Raw genomic sequence first — 19432 nt, forward strand, 5'->3', positions numbered from 1 at the left:
AAAAATTTAAATAATCTCCAAGCTAGAAAAAAATTCTTTTTTCAACAAACACACATTTTCATACTCCATACCTTTTCTTACCAAAAATACACCCTACTTTTCTTATACACAAAGTTGTTTTCCCTATTATCTCTAGTAATTTTAATTGCATATACTAATTAGAATTTTTCCTTTTTCTTTTTTTGAGACAGAATCTCACTCTGTCACCCAGGCTGGAGTGCAGTGGTGCGATCATGGCTCACTACAGTCTTGAGCTCCCAGGCTCAAGCAATCTTCCCACCTCAGCCTTCTGAGTAGCTAGGACTATCAGTACATGCCACAAAGCCTGGATAATTTTTTTTTAATTTTGTAGATACAGGGTACCACTATATTGCCTAATTAAAATTCTTAATCCTTAGTAAACCTAATTTCTAGTGAAAACTAGGAAGTAAGCAATTGTGAACTGTCTGGTACATACTGTATAACACTCTGTAGATTGGCAAATGTATGACTATATAATTTCATAATTTCTAGAAACATATAATTTCCCACAGCACTATTTTTCAATGTTGCACAGGACATATTTACCAACTGACCCCACTTCTGTATTAAGAAGCCAAAAGTTCATAAATTTAAACCTATGTTTGGCAATTAATATTTTAGTATTTTATCTTATTTGTAAATGGTCTAGATACTCAATGAATATTCACAATTTAACTTAACAAAAAAACTCTAAGGGTATATGTTACCAAAGAGATTTGGGAAACTGTTTTTCAGTAGACATATTATAAAAAATAGTTATTGTTTAGAAGTTTATTTATAAACTTATCCCACTTACATTACTTGATTGTTTTTAACAATTACATTTGGATTATTCATGAAAATTTCACAAGACAGACAAATCTCAAGTTATTTTCTAGCCATAATTCTCAAGTTATTTTCCTGTTAACTATTTTTATACCACATGTGTTTTCATGTTAAGCAAACATCATGAGAGCAAAAATCAGCCTGGGTAATATAGTGAGAACTTGTCTCTGCAAAAATAAAAAATTAGCCAGGTATGGTGGCATGTCCCTGTAGTTCCAGCTACTTGGGAGGCTGTAGTGGGAGGATCGTTTGAGCCCAGGAGGAAGAGGCTGCAGCAAGCCAAGATTGAACCACTGCACTCCAGCATGGGTGACAGAGGGAAACCCTGTCTCAAAAAAAAAAAAAAAAAAGGAAAAACCTAAAAGTTAATACAAGGGGTTTTGTTTTAATGCTATGTTTGATATACATGAAGTAATAGGTACTACATTTTTATTTGTACTTTTTGTGCTTAGATTCAATTTATGATTTTTATAATTTTAAATATTTACTATAGAAAACATAAGTTCAGGCCAGGCTCAGTGGCTCACACTGTAATCCCAACACTTTGGGAGGCTGAGATAGGAGGAAGAATAAATAATATGAACAACCAATGGAGTAAGATTCCTGTGGATGAGGTTGTAGAAGGGTGTAGCATAATAACCACAGGACCAGCCAAACTGGTAACAAATGTCAAGTTGCCTTTTAGGTATAACAAAACCAAAAACTGCAAGTCATGCAGCCCAGGCATATGTTGGGAGAAAAGCTGAGTGTTGGCAGAAGCTGAGGCAGGGCTTGCATGTCTGACATAATGTAAAAGAGTCTTGGAATATGTCCAGGGTCCAGGATCTAAAACCTCTTGTGGCCTTTGCAACAACAAGCTCGGTGCTAAAGGGTGGAAGGCTACCCTGATGCGCCATAATCTAAGCCCAGGGCATAAAACCCCTTGTGGCTTGGATAGAACCCCGGGCTTGCGACTCTGGAATGTGTCTAGACTTGCTGGCTCCTTGCTCCTTGCTCTCCCGGGATCGATTATATCTTGATTTAAAAGAACCTGCTCTCCATTATCTCAAGTAGCAGAGCAGATGCTAAACCGTCACAGCTGTAAATCATGTGCTTTAATGCAACACTCCCTTTTGACTCCCACATTCTCACCACCTGTTTCTTTGATCACCAATAAATAGTCTGGGCTTCCAGAGCTAGGGCCTTCGCAGCCTCCACACTCGCGATGATCCCCTGGACCCACTTTCTCTCTCAAACTGTCTTTTTCTCATTCCTTTGACTCCGCCGGACTTCATCACGCCCACAACCTGGTGTTGGGTCTGATCACCCCAACAAGCATACACAACAGAAAAAGCTTTGACCTTTAACAACACCTGGAACCAACTATTCCTCCCCTCAAAACATGCCTGCAATCCGAAGGATTTTCAGAAGTGAGGGCTCTGCTGACCTGGAAGATCTGGGGCTAAAATCTGCCTCAACATGCTTTACTGTAAATGGTCAAATTTGAAGCTCCCCAGTCGAATCCTGCCAAGCCAACATTCCCAAATCCTGTCTCTTTTCCTCTGATCTCATAAAACTTGCCGCAGACTCCAAACTGGGGGACAGATTTGAGCCTGTCTTTTTGCTGCCAGTTCTACAATAAAGCCTTTCTTTTCTCAAAAGCTGGTGCCATAGTTATCAGCTTCTGTGAGCATCAAGCAGTGAGCCCATTTGCTCCATAACAGATCATACCATATAGAGGTAATAACCACTGAGAAAGGAGATAAAGTACAGAGCAGTGAGGATGCACAATGCATGAGTTAATGAAGGGTGTTGTTTTAAGCCTCCACATCCACAAATACACTCATAGTCTCACAGGATGAAAGCAGGGTGTTGGTCAGGCTATAGTTCTCAAATAGGACTTGAGGAAATTTTCCAAACCCATTCAGATTGTTAGCAAAATTCAGTTCGTAGCAGCTAAAGGGCTAAGGCCCCCAGTCCCTGGCTGGCAATCAAGCAAGGGCCACTCTCAGCTCCTAGGCCTTCTGCGGTTTCTTGCTATATGACCCCCCATACACAATTTACACCATAGATGTTTGCTTTCTTTCAGGCCACCCAGAGCATGTCTCTCTTATCTCCTCTTTGATTAGCCAGGGAAAAGTCTCTGCTTTTAAAGGGCTCACCTGATTAGATTAGGCCCAGCAAGGACATTTTTCTATTATTTTGTTGGGTTTTTTGTTTGTTTGTTTGTTCATTGTTTGTTGAGACAAGGTAATGCTATACTGCCCAGGCTGTTCTCACATTCCTGGGCTCAAGGGATCCTCCTGCCTCAGCCTCCCAAGTAGCTGGGATGACAGGTGTACACCACCATGCCTGGCTAGAAAAGATGGAATCAGTGTTACTGATTTCTCTTCACTATCTTAAAGTCAACCAAAAGGGACCTTAAACAGATCTGCAAAATCCCTTTTGCTATTGTGAAAAACAAAAATTGGACAAGTAAGGGTATTAATTTTAATTTTACTCAGGCTATTGCAATGGTAGAGCATCCCCAATTCAAAGATCAGCGTATCTCAGCAGGTGATTTTGCCTTAGAGTTTCAGAAAGAATGGTAATCAAATTTCAGGTGAAGTGATTTACAGTAGAGTGTTTTTGCAAGCAGGGGTAATATCAGTTGGTTGGCTGAACAGAAAGTGTTTTTCTCTGTATTAGCTAGTTTTTCCAGGGGACAAACGATTCTAATTTCAGTAATCATGAGCCAAGGAACAAGAAGTTGAGGATCTGTGTTTGGCCTTGTCAGCAAATTCATGCAAGAGGGGAAAGTTCTCTGTTTGTTCCTGACACAGGTAAATGGTGGAGTTATCCTCAACTGTTATGGGAGTCATGAGAAAAAGTGGAAAGTGAGTCCTATCTAAGTCATATGAAGAAAGATGGTTATTTGCAGAAAGTCCTTTCCTGGAATGCCAAGGTTGGAGGGATTTCTTAACTGTTGCTGTTCTCCAAGAGCACACGACTCAGGTAAAGTTTAACATGGTTAGCCTTTTGTTCGACACTGAACAACTCAGGTGAGAATAAACGTGGGTGGGACCAAGCAAGGGCTAAGAAACAATCTCTTGAGAACCCTCACTGGTGCTGTTCCTGTAAAAATCAATTGAATTACCTATTGAGAGGTGGTTAAAAAGAAATCAGCTGTTTCAAAGTCCTGGACATCAAGCATCTTAAAAAGGATGCCTAAAATGAAAAAGAGAAATATTAATATGAAAAGCTGTATTAAAGTAATAGCTTCAGAAGTTAAATCTGAGGGTAACCAATCCAGTGGATTCCAAGAGGTTGGTAAAACTCACTGAGTTTCTTGAGGCTAAAATGTTGATGCTCTTGGTGATGTCCACAGTCTTAGCTACCTTTCATGTAAAGGCATGCATAACCAGTGTTTTGTCAAACTTCTTTACTGGCCCTGACAGTCACTTGTCCAGAAAGAAATTCATACTGGCCAGGTGCAGTGGCTCACACCTGTAATCCCAGCACTTTGGGAGGCAGAGGTGGGTGGATCACCTGAGGTCGGGAGTTCGAGACCAGCCTGACCAACATGACCAACCCTGTCTGTACTAAAAAATACAAAATTAGGCAAGCGTAGTGGCGCATGCCTGTAATCCCAACTACTCGGGAGGCTGAGGCAGTAGAATCACTTGAACCTGGGAGGCGGAGGTTGCGGTGAGCCGAGATCGTGCCATTGCACTCCAGCCTAGACAACAAGAGAGAAACTCCTTCTCAAAAAAAAAAAAGAAAAGAAAAGAAAAGAAAAGAAATCCATACATGGTCTGCTATGGTGATGAGTCCTGGAGTCCTTCAAGATTTGTAGGAAGTCATTGGTCTTTAGCTCACAGAACTTCTTAAAATTCCAAAGAAAAAGACCCAGCGCAGCACCTGAAAAGGATTTAACTGGTCAAGTTTTAGTTCTTGGTGATGCTGAGTCACACAGAAGGGAGACAATTTGGAAAACTTTGTTTAGAGCGTTGTAGCCAGATATTGAAGAACACTGGAAGAATTAAGCATTGGGTAATTGTTGATAATTTGTGCAAGGTAACAGGATCCAGTCCAAATTACAGGCATGTACCCAAACTGATTTTTTCACAAAAAGTATATAAAGTATGGGGGAAGAAAGTAACTTAAATCTCTACCAGAGAAAACAGAGTTTGCATATCCATCAATTACCTGCAATTTACAAGGAGTGCAACTAACTCAAAGGAAATGAACAGGGCTAGAGTCTGGTAACACTGTTGCAACTCAGGACTATAGTCGGAAAGAAGGGGTATAGTGCTATAGTTTTCCATTGAAACAGAAAATATCTCTCCAGTCACTCCCCTTTTAATCAAAGATGATCTTGAAGATTATCCTTGAACACAAAATAAAGACGGTCAGATTAGATTTGACCTGATTATTTACATAGGTGCTACAAAAATTGTAATGTACCAGAGTCCTTCTTAAATGTGCTTTGCTGAAAGTTTAGTAAGAAATGTCACATTAAACTTTTAAAAACTTTTTGAGCTAGGAAGCCAAGCCAAGAATTCACCATCACATTTCACCTATAATACCTAAAAATTTGGGTAAATTCCTCACTTCTCAAAGTCCATAAAATATCCTAATGTTCACAGTCCTGCCAGGAAATGACAATCTTTATTCATTCTGTAAACCAGATAAGACTCCAGTTTTCCTAGGTATGCTTTGTAAGCTTTACCTCCACAAAATTAACCATAGTTCCTTAAAAGTGTCAGATCATATCTGATTAAGTAATCATTCTAAAATATAACATTTCAAGGAAGACATTTGTTGTATAACCAATATTTGCAATTAAATCCTGTTAACAAGGAAGACAGACTCATTGAAATTGTAAAAATAACTATATTGCAATGAAAATAAAAATAGTAAGCTCAGATGTGGTGGCTCACACCTGTAATCCCAGCACTTTGGGAGGCCGAGGTGGGCAGATCACTTGAGACCAGGAGTTCAAGACCAGCCTGGCCAACATGGCGAAGCCCCATCTCTACTAAAAATAAAAAATTAGCCAGGCATGGTGGCGCATACCTGTAATCCCAGCTACTCAGGAGATTGAGGCACGAGAATCACTTGAACCTGGGAGGTGAAGGTTGCAGTGAACTGAGATGGTGCCACCACACTCCAGCCTGGGTGAGAGAGTGAGACCCTGTCTCCAAAAGAGAAAATAATAATAATAATAATCAGTGACAGTTTCCAATTCTGGAGAAATCAGGCAAAGAGAAAAATATAAATATTTCATTTCCATTTACAAAAGTGTAATTTAATCAATTATTATGAGTGACAGATAGCTTAAGAGGAGAGAGAAACGCATTCCTTATGTTCAGAAAATATAACATTAAACATCAACAATATTCCAGATGAAAGCCGCAATTATCCATCAGCTTATCCAGTCCTATGTAAGTAATTCTTGTTCCACTCAGTCTTGAGTTAGCAGTCTCAGAAATCTATCTGCTTCTGAACCACAGTTCTGGAAATTCTGACTCAGTCCACTGGTATAAATTCAGAATTGTTTATGTAATGCCATCAGAAGAGCCTGTGCCCAGGAGTACCTGGACACAGGGTTCCTTTTTCACAGGGCTCTGAAAGAGTCCATCTTTGTTGATTCACTCTGGCCACAGCTATTCCAAGTGCTTCACAGAAGCATCAGAGTAAAACAAAAAACTGTCTATAGATGACAAAAGGCCTTTCCCCTACCCCTCCCCTCCCCTTCCCTTTCCTTTCCTTTCTTCAACAGGGTCTCATTCTGTCACCCAGGCTAGAGTGCAATGGCACAATCTCAGCTCACTGCAACCTCCACCTCCTAGGCTCAAGTCATCCTCCTAACTCAGCCTCCTGCATAGCTGGGACTACTGGCGCACGCCACCAGGCCCAGCTAATTTTTTGTATTTTTTGTAGAGATGAGGTCTCACCATATTTCCCAGGCTGGTCTTGAACTCCTGGGCTCAAGCGATCCACCCACCTTGGCCTCCAAAAGTACTGGGATTACATGCGTGAGCCACCGGGCCCAGCTGATGACAAAAGGCTTTAAATGGCTAGTAATAGTTATTACTAATAACTTTCCAAAGTAAAAGATCTGATGAGAGTTTATTACAAGAATAATGCAACTGGCAAAAAATGTTTCCATGGCATGCAAAATGAAATGTCAACCCAAAAAAGTTTTAGATAAAATATCTATAAACATAATGATTAATCCTATTTTCAAAGAAGAGTAGATAATACATCTACATTTTGAAAATAAGTGAATGTAATCTTCACAGAGGAAAAAATATTCAAATATAACATATAATAATCCTGAGACACAATATACCATGGATATACTAAACATATAGTTAGACTACACCGAGAATATATCAAGTTTATCAAGGAAAGAGACTCAGAAAATCTCGAGTAGATCCTAAACATCTGAATTTGATAAATCTTCGTAGGTTAATGATATGAATCCCCAGTTGAAAACCTCTGGACAAGAGGATGCTAGATTCAAATTAAAGTTGCAACTAACTTAACACTTTAAAAAATAACTCAAAATATGACCAGTGTTATTATACCATTTTTTTGCCTAATATCTTGGCAAAACAGCACCAAGACTCTGAGAAATGGAAATATAACATGGATAGTGAGGACATTGACAAATCTCTATGAACTTCTTATATAGCACACAATTTCTGAAGTATTTATATTAATAGCATTTTACTCATACAAATTTATCACCTCTTCTGATTTGACAACTTTTCCCAAGGAACTCAATAGTAACAAATTAAATAAACCTAATTATTTCTAGCACCTCCCTTTTTGTAAGATGAAAAACAAATTCCTTGTGATTTTCCAGAGGCCTTCTGGAAAATCGGTTTTAGGTGCAAAATATATCATTTAGGACTTTATATTGGGAAGGCAAAATATCAAAAGTTGTCAGGAGGTTTGAACAGTTGATTAAATAGGATCATGGGTTCCTGGGAAATAACACTTGGCTACCTATTTAATCATGTGACAGCAAAATGACATTAAAGAATTTTAAAGGTAGGGCACAGTGGCTCACACCTGTAATCTCTACACTTTTGGAGGCCAAGGCAAAAGGATCACTTGAGGCCAGGAGTTTGAGACCAGCCTGGGCAATATAGCAAGACCCTGTCTCTACAATTTTTTTAAAAAGTTAGATGGGCATGGTTGTGCACACCTGTAGTCCCAGCTACTTCAGAGGCTGAGGCAGGAGGATGGTTTAAAGCCCAGGCATCTGAGGTTGCAGTGAACTACGATTGCATCACTGCACTCCGGCCTGGGCATCAGAGAGACCCTGTTTCTAAAAAAATAAAATAAAATAGGCCGGGTACAGTGGCTCATGCTTGTAACCCTAGCACTTTGGGAGTCCAAGGCGGGCGGATCACGAGGTCAGGAGATGGAGACCATCCTGGCCAACATGGTGAAACCCCATTTCTACTAAAAATACAAAAAAAAAAAAAAATAGCTGGTTGTGGTGGTGGGCGCCTGTAATCCTAGCTACTTGGGAGGCTAAGGCATGAGAATTGCTTGAACCCAGGAGGCAGAGGTTGCAGTGAGCTGAGATCGCACCACTGCACTCCAGCCTGGCAACAGAGCAAGACTCCGTCTCAAAAATAAAATAAAATAAAATAAAATAAATAAAACAAAAATGTAAAGTATACATAGATGATAGCACAATTGAAAAGGACCTTGGTTCTTCTTTCAAAAGTGGGCAGACTTTTCTCTTAAATAAATAATTATCTTAAATAATCAAGGACATGATAAACTCAACATAAAGCACAGGAGATTATTTTGATAAAACACAGAATCTTTGTTGTATAGATAACTCAGAAGGTAAGAAAAATCTCTTACAACTGAGACAGAGCAGGGACCTCCTTTCGGGGCCGGCTGCCCACTGTCCCCCTTCCCCCAGGCATGGAAATATAAAAAAATCTTGAGTTACTTCAAGGGAAATTCTGGGCACCCTGCTAGCCTTGAAAAGTAAATGAGCAACCTGATAAGCAAGAAGGTAATAGCTTTAAACAATAGCCAAGGAAGTTAGAGCCACAAGATGTTTGGTTCCCTATGGAAACTAAAGACAATATATCAACATATGTTCTTGAGTTGTTTTTCAGACACCTGGACCCCCACCAAATAGAAAGTCCATCCTGCTGACATGTAGAACTCAGATAAGAGGGAACTGAGGACTGAACTGTAACCACTGTTCTTTGTTCTAAATTTCTTCTTGAGGGGCCTGGAGAGTCGCAACCACAGGCCAGATCTTAACATTCTTTCCTGCTAACCCTAAGTTTTTAGACAAAGCTTTGCTTCCTTAACCAATTGCAAATCAAAGAATCTTGGAAGCCACCTGTATCAGTCCTTTCTCACGCTGCTATAAAGAATTGCCCAGCAATTAATTTATAAAGGAATTTATAAAGGAAATAGGTTTAATTGATTCACAGTTCCACAGGGCTGGGGAGGCCTCAGGAAACTTACAATTATGGTGGAAGGGGATGCAAATACATACTTCTTTGCATGGTGGCAGGAAAAAGAAGTGCTGAGCAAAGGGGGAAAAGTTCCTTATAAATTCATCAGATTGGCCATGCGTGGTCGCTCATGCCTGTAATCCCAACACTTTGGGAGGCCAAGGTGGGCAGATCACCTGAGGTCGGCAGTTCAAGACCAGCCTGGCCAACATGGCAAAACCTTATCTCTACTAAAAATACAAAAATATTAGCTGGGCATGGTTTTGTGCACCTGTAATCCCAGCCACGAGGGAGGCTGAGGCAGGAGAATCACTTGAATCTGGGAGGCAGAGATTGCAGTGAGCCGAGATCACGCCATTGCACTCCAGCACCTGAGTGACAGGAATGAAACACCATCTCCAAAAAAAAAAAAATCAGCTCTCATGAAAACTCACTCACTATCACGAGAACAGCATGGAGGGACCACCTGCATGATCTAATCACCTTCCACGAGGTGCCTCCCCCAACACATAGGGATTACAATTCAAGATGAGATTTGGGTGGGGGACACAGTGCCAGACCATATCACCACCTATGACCTGTAAGGCCATGCTTCAATATATCTTACCTTTTAAGGCCAAACCAGTGTATAACCTCCACATACTGGTATACAATTTTGCCTGTAACTTCTGCTTTTCTGAAACTTACCCCTTCCTTTAAAAACCCTTGGGTTTAGGCTAGTAAAGAAGTTGGGTCTTAAGTGTCAGCTGCCCAATTCTCCTTGCTTGGTGCCCTGCAAATAAACATCCTCCTTTTTCTCACTGCAAATCTTTGTGTAGACTGGCTTTCCCGTACCAGGTGAGTGGACCCAGGTTTGGTTTGGTTTTACAAACATTTTAGTAACACAGCCAATTAATCCAAGAAGACTTTGTAAAAATTTTTTTTTTTGGAGACGGAGTCTTGCTCTGTTACCCAGGCGGGAGTGCAGTGGCGCGATCTTGGCTCACTGAAAACTCCGCCTCCCGGGTTCAAGCAATTCTCCTGCCTCAGCCTCCTGAGTAGCTGGGACTACAGGCACATGCCACCACACCCGGCTAACTTTTTGTATTTTAGTAGAGACACGGTTTCACTGTGTTGCCCAGACTGATCTTGAGCTCCTGAGCTCAGGGAATTTGCCCACCTTGGCCTCCCAAAGAGCTAGGATTACAGGCGTGAGCCACCATGCCCAGCTGACTTTGTAATTTTAACAGAAAGAAAACCAAATTCAAGTTTTATGTAAGTATTATACTTTACACTAAGCCTTTTTCTAATAATCTTATAAATAAATTCATCAAATGTAGCCAGCTTTGACCACCACAAAATTTCCTTTCTGTGAATCTTCCATGACTTTCTATATCTATTCAGATTTTTTCCTATACTTTACGCCTTCTCATTCTGAAACAAAGTCATTTTACTTCAGCACAAAACTACTTACAAAACTACTTTTTTCCTTAACAAAAATCCATCCCCATATACTTTGCATAGAAAGTTGCTTTTCTCTGCCTCTATTTGCTCCTAGTAGAGTCTAATTCACATATATTGATTATAACTTGTAATCACAGGACTTATATTTTACACAGAAAACTAGGAGGTAAATAATTGCAACTGTTTTTGTAACACATCAGCATTTTTAGCAGACCAGCAAAGCTTATGATTATATATCTTATAACTTTATAGTGATACACATCCCTAACTCACAAAAATGAGTATATTTATTAACAGATCCAAGTACATAGCCTCTCAGTATTATATCAAAATAAGAGGCAAAAAATGTTAAAAATATATAAGCACAGCCATAAAAAAAGAACGAAATCATGTACTTTGCAGGAACATGGATGCAGCTGGAGGTCATTATCCTAAGCAAATTTTGCAGGAATACGAAATCAAATACCACACATTCTCATTTATAATTCAGAGCTAAGCATTGGGTAGCTGTGGACATGAAGACGGGAAAAGCCGGGTGCAGTGGCTCACGCCTGTAATGCCAGCACTTTGGGAGGCCGAGGCGGGTGGATCATGAGGTCAGGAGTTCGAGACCAGCCTGGCCAACATAGTGAAACCCAATCTCTACTAAAAATACAAAAATTAGCTGGGTATGGTGGCGTGTGCCTCTAGTCCCAGCTACGTGGGAGGCTGAGGCAGGAGAATCGCTTGAAACCGGAAAGCAAAGGTTGTGGTGAGCCGAGATTGTGCCATTACACTCCAGCCTGGGCAACAGAGTGAGACTCTGTCTCAAAAAAAAAAAAAAAAAAAAAAAAAGACGGGAACAATAGACACTGGGACTACTAGAAGGGAGAGAGAGGGACGAGGGAAAAGGCTGAAAAACTACCTATGAATTCCCACCTGGGTGATGGGATCATTTATACCCCAAACTCAGTGTCCCACAATATACCCATTTAACAAACCTGCACATGTACACCCTGAATCAAAAATAACAGTTGAAATTATATATATATATATATATATATATATATATAAACTTAAAGTTATACTTTGAAGTTAATGTTTCAGTAGCTTATCTTAGAAATGATCTTGGCCGGGCTCGGTGGCTCACGCCTGTAATCCCAGCACTTTGGGAGGCCGAGGCAGGAGGATCACCTGAGGTCAAGAGTTCAAGACCATCCTGGTCAACATGGTGAAACCCTGTCTCTACTAAAAATACAAAAAATTAGCCAGGTGTGGTGGCACGCACCTGTGGTCCCAGCTATTGGGAAGGCTGAGGCAGGAGAATCACTTGAACCCAGGAGATAGAGGTTGCAGTGAGCCGAGATTGTGCCACTGCACTCCAGCCTGGGCTACAAGCGCGAACTCTATCTCAAAAAAAAAAAAAAAAAAAAGAAAGAAATGATCTTAATATTTTGTGAATATCCATTAACTAATTCAATTTAGCATCAATTCAAGATTTTTAGTTACAAAAAGATCTTAGAAACTATTTCCAAGCTGACATGCTACCAAATATAATTACTGCTGAAATAAGGTTTGCCAGAATAATGATTTAATTTGATTAAACACAAATTTACAATTTTCATAATCTTAAACATCTAGTAGATCATAATGCTAGCTTACTTTTTTCTTTATTATCTTTTTAAAATCCAGATCCTGCACAATGTGCTAGCTTATTTGATCTGTAAACCTGTATAGGTTTAGGAAAAGCATACCCAATTAGAATAAAAATGTATGCCTGTATTATACTTAATATAGATAATTCAGAAGACACGCTGTTTTTATTAAACCCACAATATTAAACTAGCCTCATTTGCCAAATATTCACATAAATAATGTGAACTTAAATTCTTAAACCATTTAAATTAGTCTCTATAAAAGTACATTTTAACAGCACATTGAAATTATTGGAAGGTCAATCCCCTAAATTTCTGGCTATTTCAAGTATTATATAAGCCTTATTTATCTCTAAACCAATCTGAATAGAACCCTTTTAAGATATTTTATAATCTAATTTGATCATACTGAGAGTCACAGGACGCAGACAAATGCCTAGACAAATAGGGGTGGGTCCCCAGTGAAACCCCTCCTCCAAGCCAAGGACCGTTTAAAGCCTGAAAACCAAACTACAAGTCAAATCTCTCAGCTGAACTGAGAACCTGTCTTCTTATTTGGTGCACTTTCCTCTGATTGATCCCCACCCTTTACCTATTTTACATTTATCTACCCTTTCCTAATTGGTTTTCTCCACTGTCATGCCCACCTTTGAGTGGAGTCTTCGTTTTAACCTTTTTTACATACTCACAAACCAATCAGCATGCACTCCCCATTCTGAGTCCATAAAAAGCCCAGGACCCAGCCACACTAAGAGAGAAAAACCACCTGACTGCAGGGGTGTGGGACCACCCCCCAGCCCCTGCATCCCCTCTCTTCTGAGAGCTGTTCCATGGCTCTGTCGCCCAGGCCAAAGTGTAGTGGCGCAATCTTGGCTCACTGCAACCTCAGCCTCCCAGTTTCAAGTGATGCCTCAGCCACAAGAGTAGCTGGGATTCCAGATGCTTACCACCACGTCCGGGTAATTTTTGTATTTTTGGTAGGATGGGGTTTCACCATGTTGGCCAGGCTGGTCTCAAACTCCTGACCTCAAGTGATCCACCCACCTCAGCCTCCCAAAGTGCTGGGATCACAGGCCTGAGCCACAGTGCACCGCCACTGATCTGCTCTTGGTCTCTAGTAATTTTGCCTTTTCCTGGGTGTCGTATGATAGAATCATACAGTATTCCATTGTACAGATGTATCACAGTTTGTTTATTCATTCACCCATTGAAAAACATTTCACTTGTTTCCAAGTTTAAGCAGTTATGAATAATGTTACTATAATCATTCATGCATAGGATTTGTGCGAACATAAGTTTTCAGTTCTCTTGAGTAAACACCTATAAGCCAAATTGCTGGGTCATTTAAGTGTATGTTTAACTTTATAAGAAACTGAAAAACGTCCACAGTAGCTGTGTGATACTGTATAATAATGTATGATAACTTAAGTTACTCTGCATCCTTGTCAGCACTTGGTATTGTCAGTTTTTTGTTTGGCCATTCTAATAGGTATGTAAGAGCATATTATTGTGATTTTTAATTTACATTTGCCTAATGACTAATGACGTTGACCATCTTTTCCCATGTTTATTTGTCATCTGTATCTTCTTTGGGGAGGAATCTGTTCAAAACCTTTGCCTTTTATTTATTTATTTATGTATTTATTTATTTATTTAGAGACAGAGACTCACTCTGTTGCCCAGGCTGGAGTGCAGTGACACAATCATGGCTCGCTGCAGCCTCAACCTCCTGGGCTCAAGCGATCCTGCAACCTCAGTCGTCTAAGTAACTGAGGCCACAAGGGCATACCACCATGCCCAGCAAATTTTTTTATTTTATGTAGAGCTACAGGCCTCGCTATGTGGCTGAGGCTGGCCTGGAACTCCTGGCCTCAAGTGATCCTCCTACCTCAGTCTCCCAAAGTGCTGGTATTACAGGTGTAAGTCACAGCCCTCAGCCTCAGTTTTTAAAATCGAGTTTTTTTCTCCTGGCCTCAGAAGATCCACCTGCCTCGGCCTCCCAAAGTGCTGGAATTACGGGCATGAGTCACCTCAGCCAGCCTGTAATGATTCTTAAAATTGAGTAGTGTGTGTCCTCCAACCTTGTTCTTCTAATGTTTTGTTTGTTTGTTTGTTTGTTTTTTGAGACAGAGTCTTGCTCTGTCGCCCAGGCTGGAGTGCTGTGGTGCAATCTCGGCTCACTGCAAGCTCTGCCTCCCGGGCTCAAGGGATTCTTCTGCCTCAGCCTCCCCAGTAGCTGGGACTACAGGCGCCTGCCACTATGCCCAGCTAATTTTTGTATTTTTAGTAGAGACGGGATTTTACCATATTGGCCAGGCTGGTCTCAAACTCCTGACCTTGTGATCTGCCCCCTTTGGCTTCCCAAAGTGCTGGGATTACAGGCGTGAGCCACCGCGCCCGGCCTATAATGATTCTTAAAATTGAGTAGTGTGCATCCTCCAACCTCATTCTTCTAATATTTTTTTCTGCACTAATTTCATTCTCCTTTCCTTCTCCTGCCCTAATGAAATGAATGTTATACTATTTGATATCACCCCACAGTTCCCTGAGGCACTGTTCAATTTTTTTTTCAATATTTTTTGTGGTTCAGATTGGATAATTTCTATTGCTCTTCACGTTTATAGATCCTTTCCTTTTTTTCCACTCTGCTCTCAAGCTATTATTGAGTCTAGGTCTGATAATTCTGAGTCATCTTGGGCTGGGATTTGCTGTTTTTTCCACCATGAGTTGCTGCAATTTTCCTGTTTTTGTTTCTGTTGTTTTTTTCAATGTTGAGCAATTTTGTATTGTATCCAGGATGTTTTTATTATTATGTTATGAGACTGTAAGTCCTGTTAAAATCCTCTGAGGAATGCTGGATTTTTTCTTTGTTTTGGTTTAGCAGATAGTTGTCTCAGTTACGTTCAGGCCAAAGTCTAGCCTGCCTTCTATGGACCATGGAATGTAATTTCAGTTTTCAAGCTTTTGCAGAGTATTTCAATCTGTTCTATGTATGTTTCCCCCAGGGGCTAAATGGGACCTGGGTGGGGGTCTACACCACACACCAGTGTTCAAAGCCCTTGGTCTTGAAGTAGTTTAGGATATGCCACCTCAAAATATGCCACTTTGGTATACTGATTATTTTGAGGTGAAGACACTTAAAAAACAACAAATGCAGAGACAAGCTTTCTCTGAACTCCCTGTATCTGCCTAAAGACAGATATTCCAAAAGGAACTCAATTGTCATCAATCCCCTTCCCAGGAGTTTCATCAACAGAAAAGATTAATGCATCATAGGAAAGCAGACTAGATACTATCCCCAGACAAACTTTGTCAGAAACTATCATATCTCCCATCTATTCTTCCAAGGGACCCATCATTCATCTTTATTTTTTATTTTTATTTTTTGAGACAGGGTTTCACTCTCGTTGCTCAGACTGGAGTGCAATGACACAATCTCGGTTCACTGCAACTTCTGCCTCCTGGACTCAAGCCATCCTCCCACCTCAGCCTCCCAAGTATCTGGGACTACAGGTGCTCGCCACCACACCACACTAATTTTTGAATTTTTTGTAGAGGCAGGGTTTTGCCATGTTGCCCAAGGTGGTCTCAAATTCATGAGCTCCAGTGAGCCTCCCGCCTCAGCCTCCCAAAGTGCTGGGATTATAGGCATGAGCCACACCTGGCCCATTCATCTTTACTAAAAATCATTTAATCTCCCCAAAATGCCCACATCTCTTCTGCCCTTTCCCTTGTGATGATGATATACAAGCTTTCAAATCTCACTGCTTTTTGGGTATTTGCCTTTTTTTCCTGTGATGCTCCCATGCGCATAATAAATTAGCATACCTTTTCTCCTGTTAATCACCTGTTGTCAGTCTGTATCCTAGACCTAGCTATTGATCCTAGGTGGGTAAAGGGAAAGTCTTTCCCTCCCTTACACTCTTCTATTTCAGATAAGTTTTTCCCACAAACACCTTGGGAGTGATCCTAAGACTTCAACTCTCTTTGAAGTCCTCTTCTCCAAAATCTCCACAATAGTCTCTGGCTCCCAGAGCTCCTTATCCTGGTTCTGTGGCCCAAATGCCTGGTTTTCAGTCTTCCTGTGCTGTCAGACACCTCCCACAACTGGATCCATCTCTGCTATGATCTGAATGTTTGTGTCCCCTCAAAATTCATAAATTAGAACTTATTCCCCAATTACCATCAATTACCATGAGGAGGTCGGGTCTTTAGGAAGTGATTAGAAGGTAGAGCCCTCATGAACGGGATTAATGCCCTTTAGAAGAGGCTTGAGGGAGTTCCTTTGCCCCTTCCACTATGTGAGGACATGGAAGATACCACCTATGAGGAACAGGCCCTCACCAGACACTGAATCAGCTGGTGACTTGATCTTGTACTTCCTAGACTCCAGAGCTCTGAGCTATAGGTTTCTGTTGTTTATAAATTCCCCCGTCTGGCCTGGCACAGTGGCTCACATCTGTAATCCTAGCACTTTGGGAGGCTGAGGTGGGTGGATTATCTGAGGTCAGGAGTTCAAGACTAGCCTGGTCAACATGGTGAAACCCCGTCTCTACTAAAAATACAAAAAATTAGCTGGGTGTGGTGATGTGCGCCTATAATCCCAGCTGCTGGGAAGGCTGAGGCAGGAGAATAGCTTGAACCCGGGAGGCAGACATTACATTGAACCGAGATTACGCCACTGCACTCCAGCCTAGGCAACAAGGGCAAAACTCTGTCTCAAAAAAATAAAATAAAAATAAATAAATTCCCCAGTCTAAGGTAATTTGTTATAGCAGCCAAAGTAGACTAAGACAATCTCCAAGGCAAATCAGCAAGCTCAGCTGCTGATAGAGTCACCATCCATAGGGAGAATGCAGCTTTAGAACTGGAGCCCTACAGAGCCAATAAAAGAAAACAGAAACAGAATAGTTCCTCATTTGTCAGAGGGGCCTCTTTCCAGTTTTCTTTTTAAAGATAGAGATACATCTTGGTGTTCCTTTTGCAACATTCCAGAATTTTTCTTGCTTTGAGATAGTAGAGAGAAAAATATACGAAACTCACCATTTTGTTGGTCTTTGAGTTTTAATTTCTTACCCAATTTATCTTCTATTATTTTCTTTATTACCTTTATTATTTATTTTACTAATCTCAGTTATTTGTTTTGTAATGCCCAACCTTGTTTTTTCCTTATTCACCTGGCCTTGTTCCTCCCTTAGCTAAGAGAACCAGACAAACTCCATCTTGGCTCTTTCATTGGCAGCCCCTTCCTCAAGGACTTAACTTGTGCAAGCTGACTCCCAGCACATCCAAGAATGCAATTAACTGATAAGATACTGTGGCAAGCTATATCCGCAGTCCACAAGAATTCGTCTGATTGATAACGCCCAAAGCCCCGCGTCTATCACCTTGTAATAGTCTTAAAGCCCCTGCACCTGGAAATGTTTACTTTCCTGTAACCATTTATTCTTTTAACTTTTTTGACTACTTAACCTCTGTAAAATTGTTTTAACTAGCCCCCCCCTCGCCTCCCCTTCCTAAACCAAGGTATAAAAGTTAATCAAGCCCCTTCCTCGGGGCCAAGAGAATTTTGAGCATTAGCCGTCTCTTGGTCACCAGCTAATAAAGGACTCTTAATTCGTCTCAAAGTGTGGCGTTTTCTCTAACTCGGTCAGGTACAACAGTTTCATGTATTCTCCCCAGAATTTTTGTTGTATTCTCTGGGAGAAATAGCATGGAATATGTTTATGCCATCTTTTTTTTTTTTTTTTTTTGAGACGGGGTCTCACTCTGTCACCCTGCTGGAGTGCAGTGGCATGATTTGGTTTGCTGCAGCCTCTACATCCTGGGCTCAAGTGATCCTCCCACCTCAGCCTCCCAAATAACTGGGACTATAGCTGTGAACTACTATGCCTGGTTAATTTTTGTATTTTTTGTAGAGATGAGGGTTCACCATGTTACCCACTGGTCTTGACTCCTGCGTTCAAGTGATCTGCCCACTTTAGCCTCCCAAAGTTCTGGAATTACGGGCATGAGTCACCTCACCTGGCCTGTTTTATATATTTTAGGGAAGTAGAAGTTACAGGCTAAGTCATAAATCAATATATGGAGGTTATACATTGCTTTGGCCTAAAAAGGCAGACTATCTATACCTAAAGGATTATAAATCATGTTGCTATAAAGACACATGCACACGTATGTTTATTGCGGCACTATTCACAATAGCAAAGACTTGGAACCAACCCAAATGTCCAACAATGATAGACTGGATTAAGAAAATGTGGCATGTATACACCGTGGAATACTATGCAGCCATAAAAAATGATGAATTCATGTCCTTTGTAGGGACATGGATGAAGCTGGAAACCATCATTCTCAGCAAACTATCGCAAGGACAAAAAACCAAACACCGCATGTTCTCACTCATAGGTGGGAATTGAACAAAGAGAATACATGGACATAGGAAGGGGAACATCACACACTGGGGCCTGTTGTGGGGTGGGGGGAGTGGGGAGGGAAGCATTAGGAGATATACCTAATGTTTTTTTTTTTTTTTTTTTTTTTTTTTTTGAGACGGAGTCTCGCTCTGTCGCCCCGGCTGGAGTGCAGTGGCGGGATCTCGGCTCACTGCAAGCTCCGCCTCCCGGGTTCACGCCATTCTCCTGCCTCAGCCTCCCAAGTAGCTGGGACTACAGGCGTCCGCCACTACGCCCGGCTAATTTTTTGTATTTTTAGTAGAGACGGGGTTTCACCGTTTTAGCCGGGATGGTCTCGATCTCCTGACCTCGTGATCCACCCGCCTCGGCCTCCCAAAGTGCTGGGATTACAGGCGTGAGCCACCGCGCCCGGCCAAGATATACCTAATGTTAAATGACGAGTTAATGGTGCAGCACACCAGCATGGCACATGTATATATATGTAACAAACTGCACATTGTGCACCTGTACCCTAAAACTTAAAAGTATAATTTTTAAAAAAAAGGCAGAATATCTTGAAGTGGGGGCTTACAGGTCATAGGTGTCTTCAGAGATTCTTTAATTTGCAATTGATTAAAGGAGTAAA

General features: G+C 40.9%; 1 long non-coding RNA gene across 9 annotated transcripts in view, besides 1 other annotated feature; it reads right to left on the minus strand.

Annotated features, from left to right (window-relative positions):
• Window positions 1-19432, minus strand: part of LOC124904230 (uncharacterized) — a 124812-nt gene that overhangs the window by 28577 nt on the left and 76803 nt on the right. For 7 of the 9 annotated variants that reach the window (XR_007066243.1, XR_007066251.1, XR_007066250.1 and 4 more), the window contains exons 2-3: window positions 4615-4725; window positions 3962-4032 (exon numbers count right to left, since the gene is read on the minus strand). The exons of 1 other annotated variant lie outside the window; for it this stretch is intronic. This is a non-coding gene — a long non-coding RNA (uncharacterized LOC124904230). The remainder of the gene's footprint in view (window positions 1-3961; window positions 4033-4614; window positions 4726-19432) is intronic. One more of the 9 variants, XR_007066245.1, reaches the window with a different exon arrangement.
• Window positions 8566-8760: a silencer, noted in NCBI's record as "fragment chr1:100415895-100416089 (GRCh37/hg19 assembly coordinates)". NCBI's record gives its function as "represses an EF-1alpha promoter that drives an FKBP-Casp9 reporter gene in an ReSE screen in K562 erythroleukemia cells {active_cell/tissue: K562}" and the evidence as "EXISTENCE:reporter gene assay evidence [ECO:0000049][PMID:32094911]".

The sequence above is a fragment of the Homo sapiens genome, chromosome 1 (genome assembly GCF_000001405.40).
Source record: "Homo sapiens chromosome 1, GRCh38.p14 Primary Assembly".
NCBI classification, from domain to species: Eukaryota; Metazoa; Chordata; class Mammalia; order Primates; family Hominidae; genus Homo; species Homo sapiens.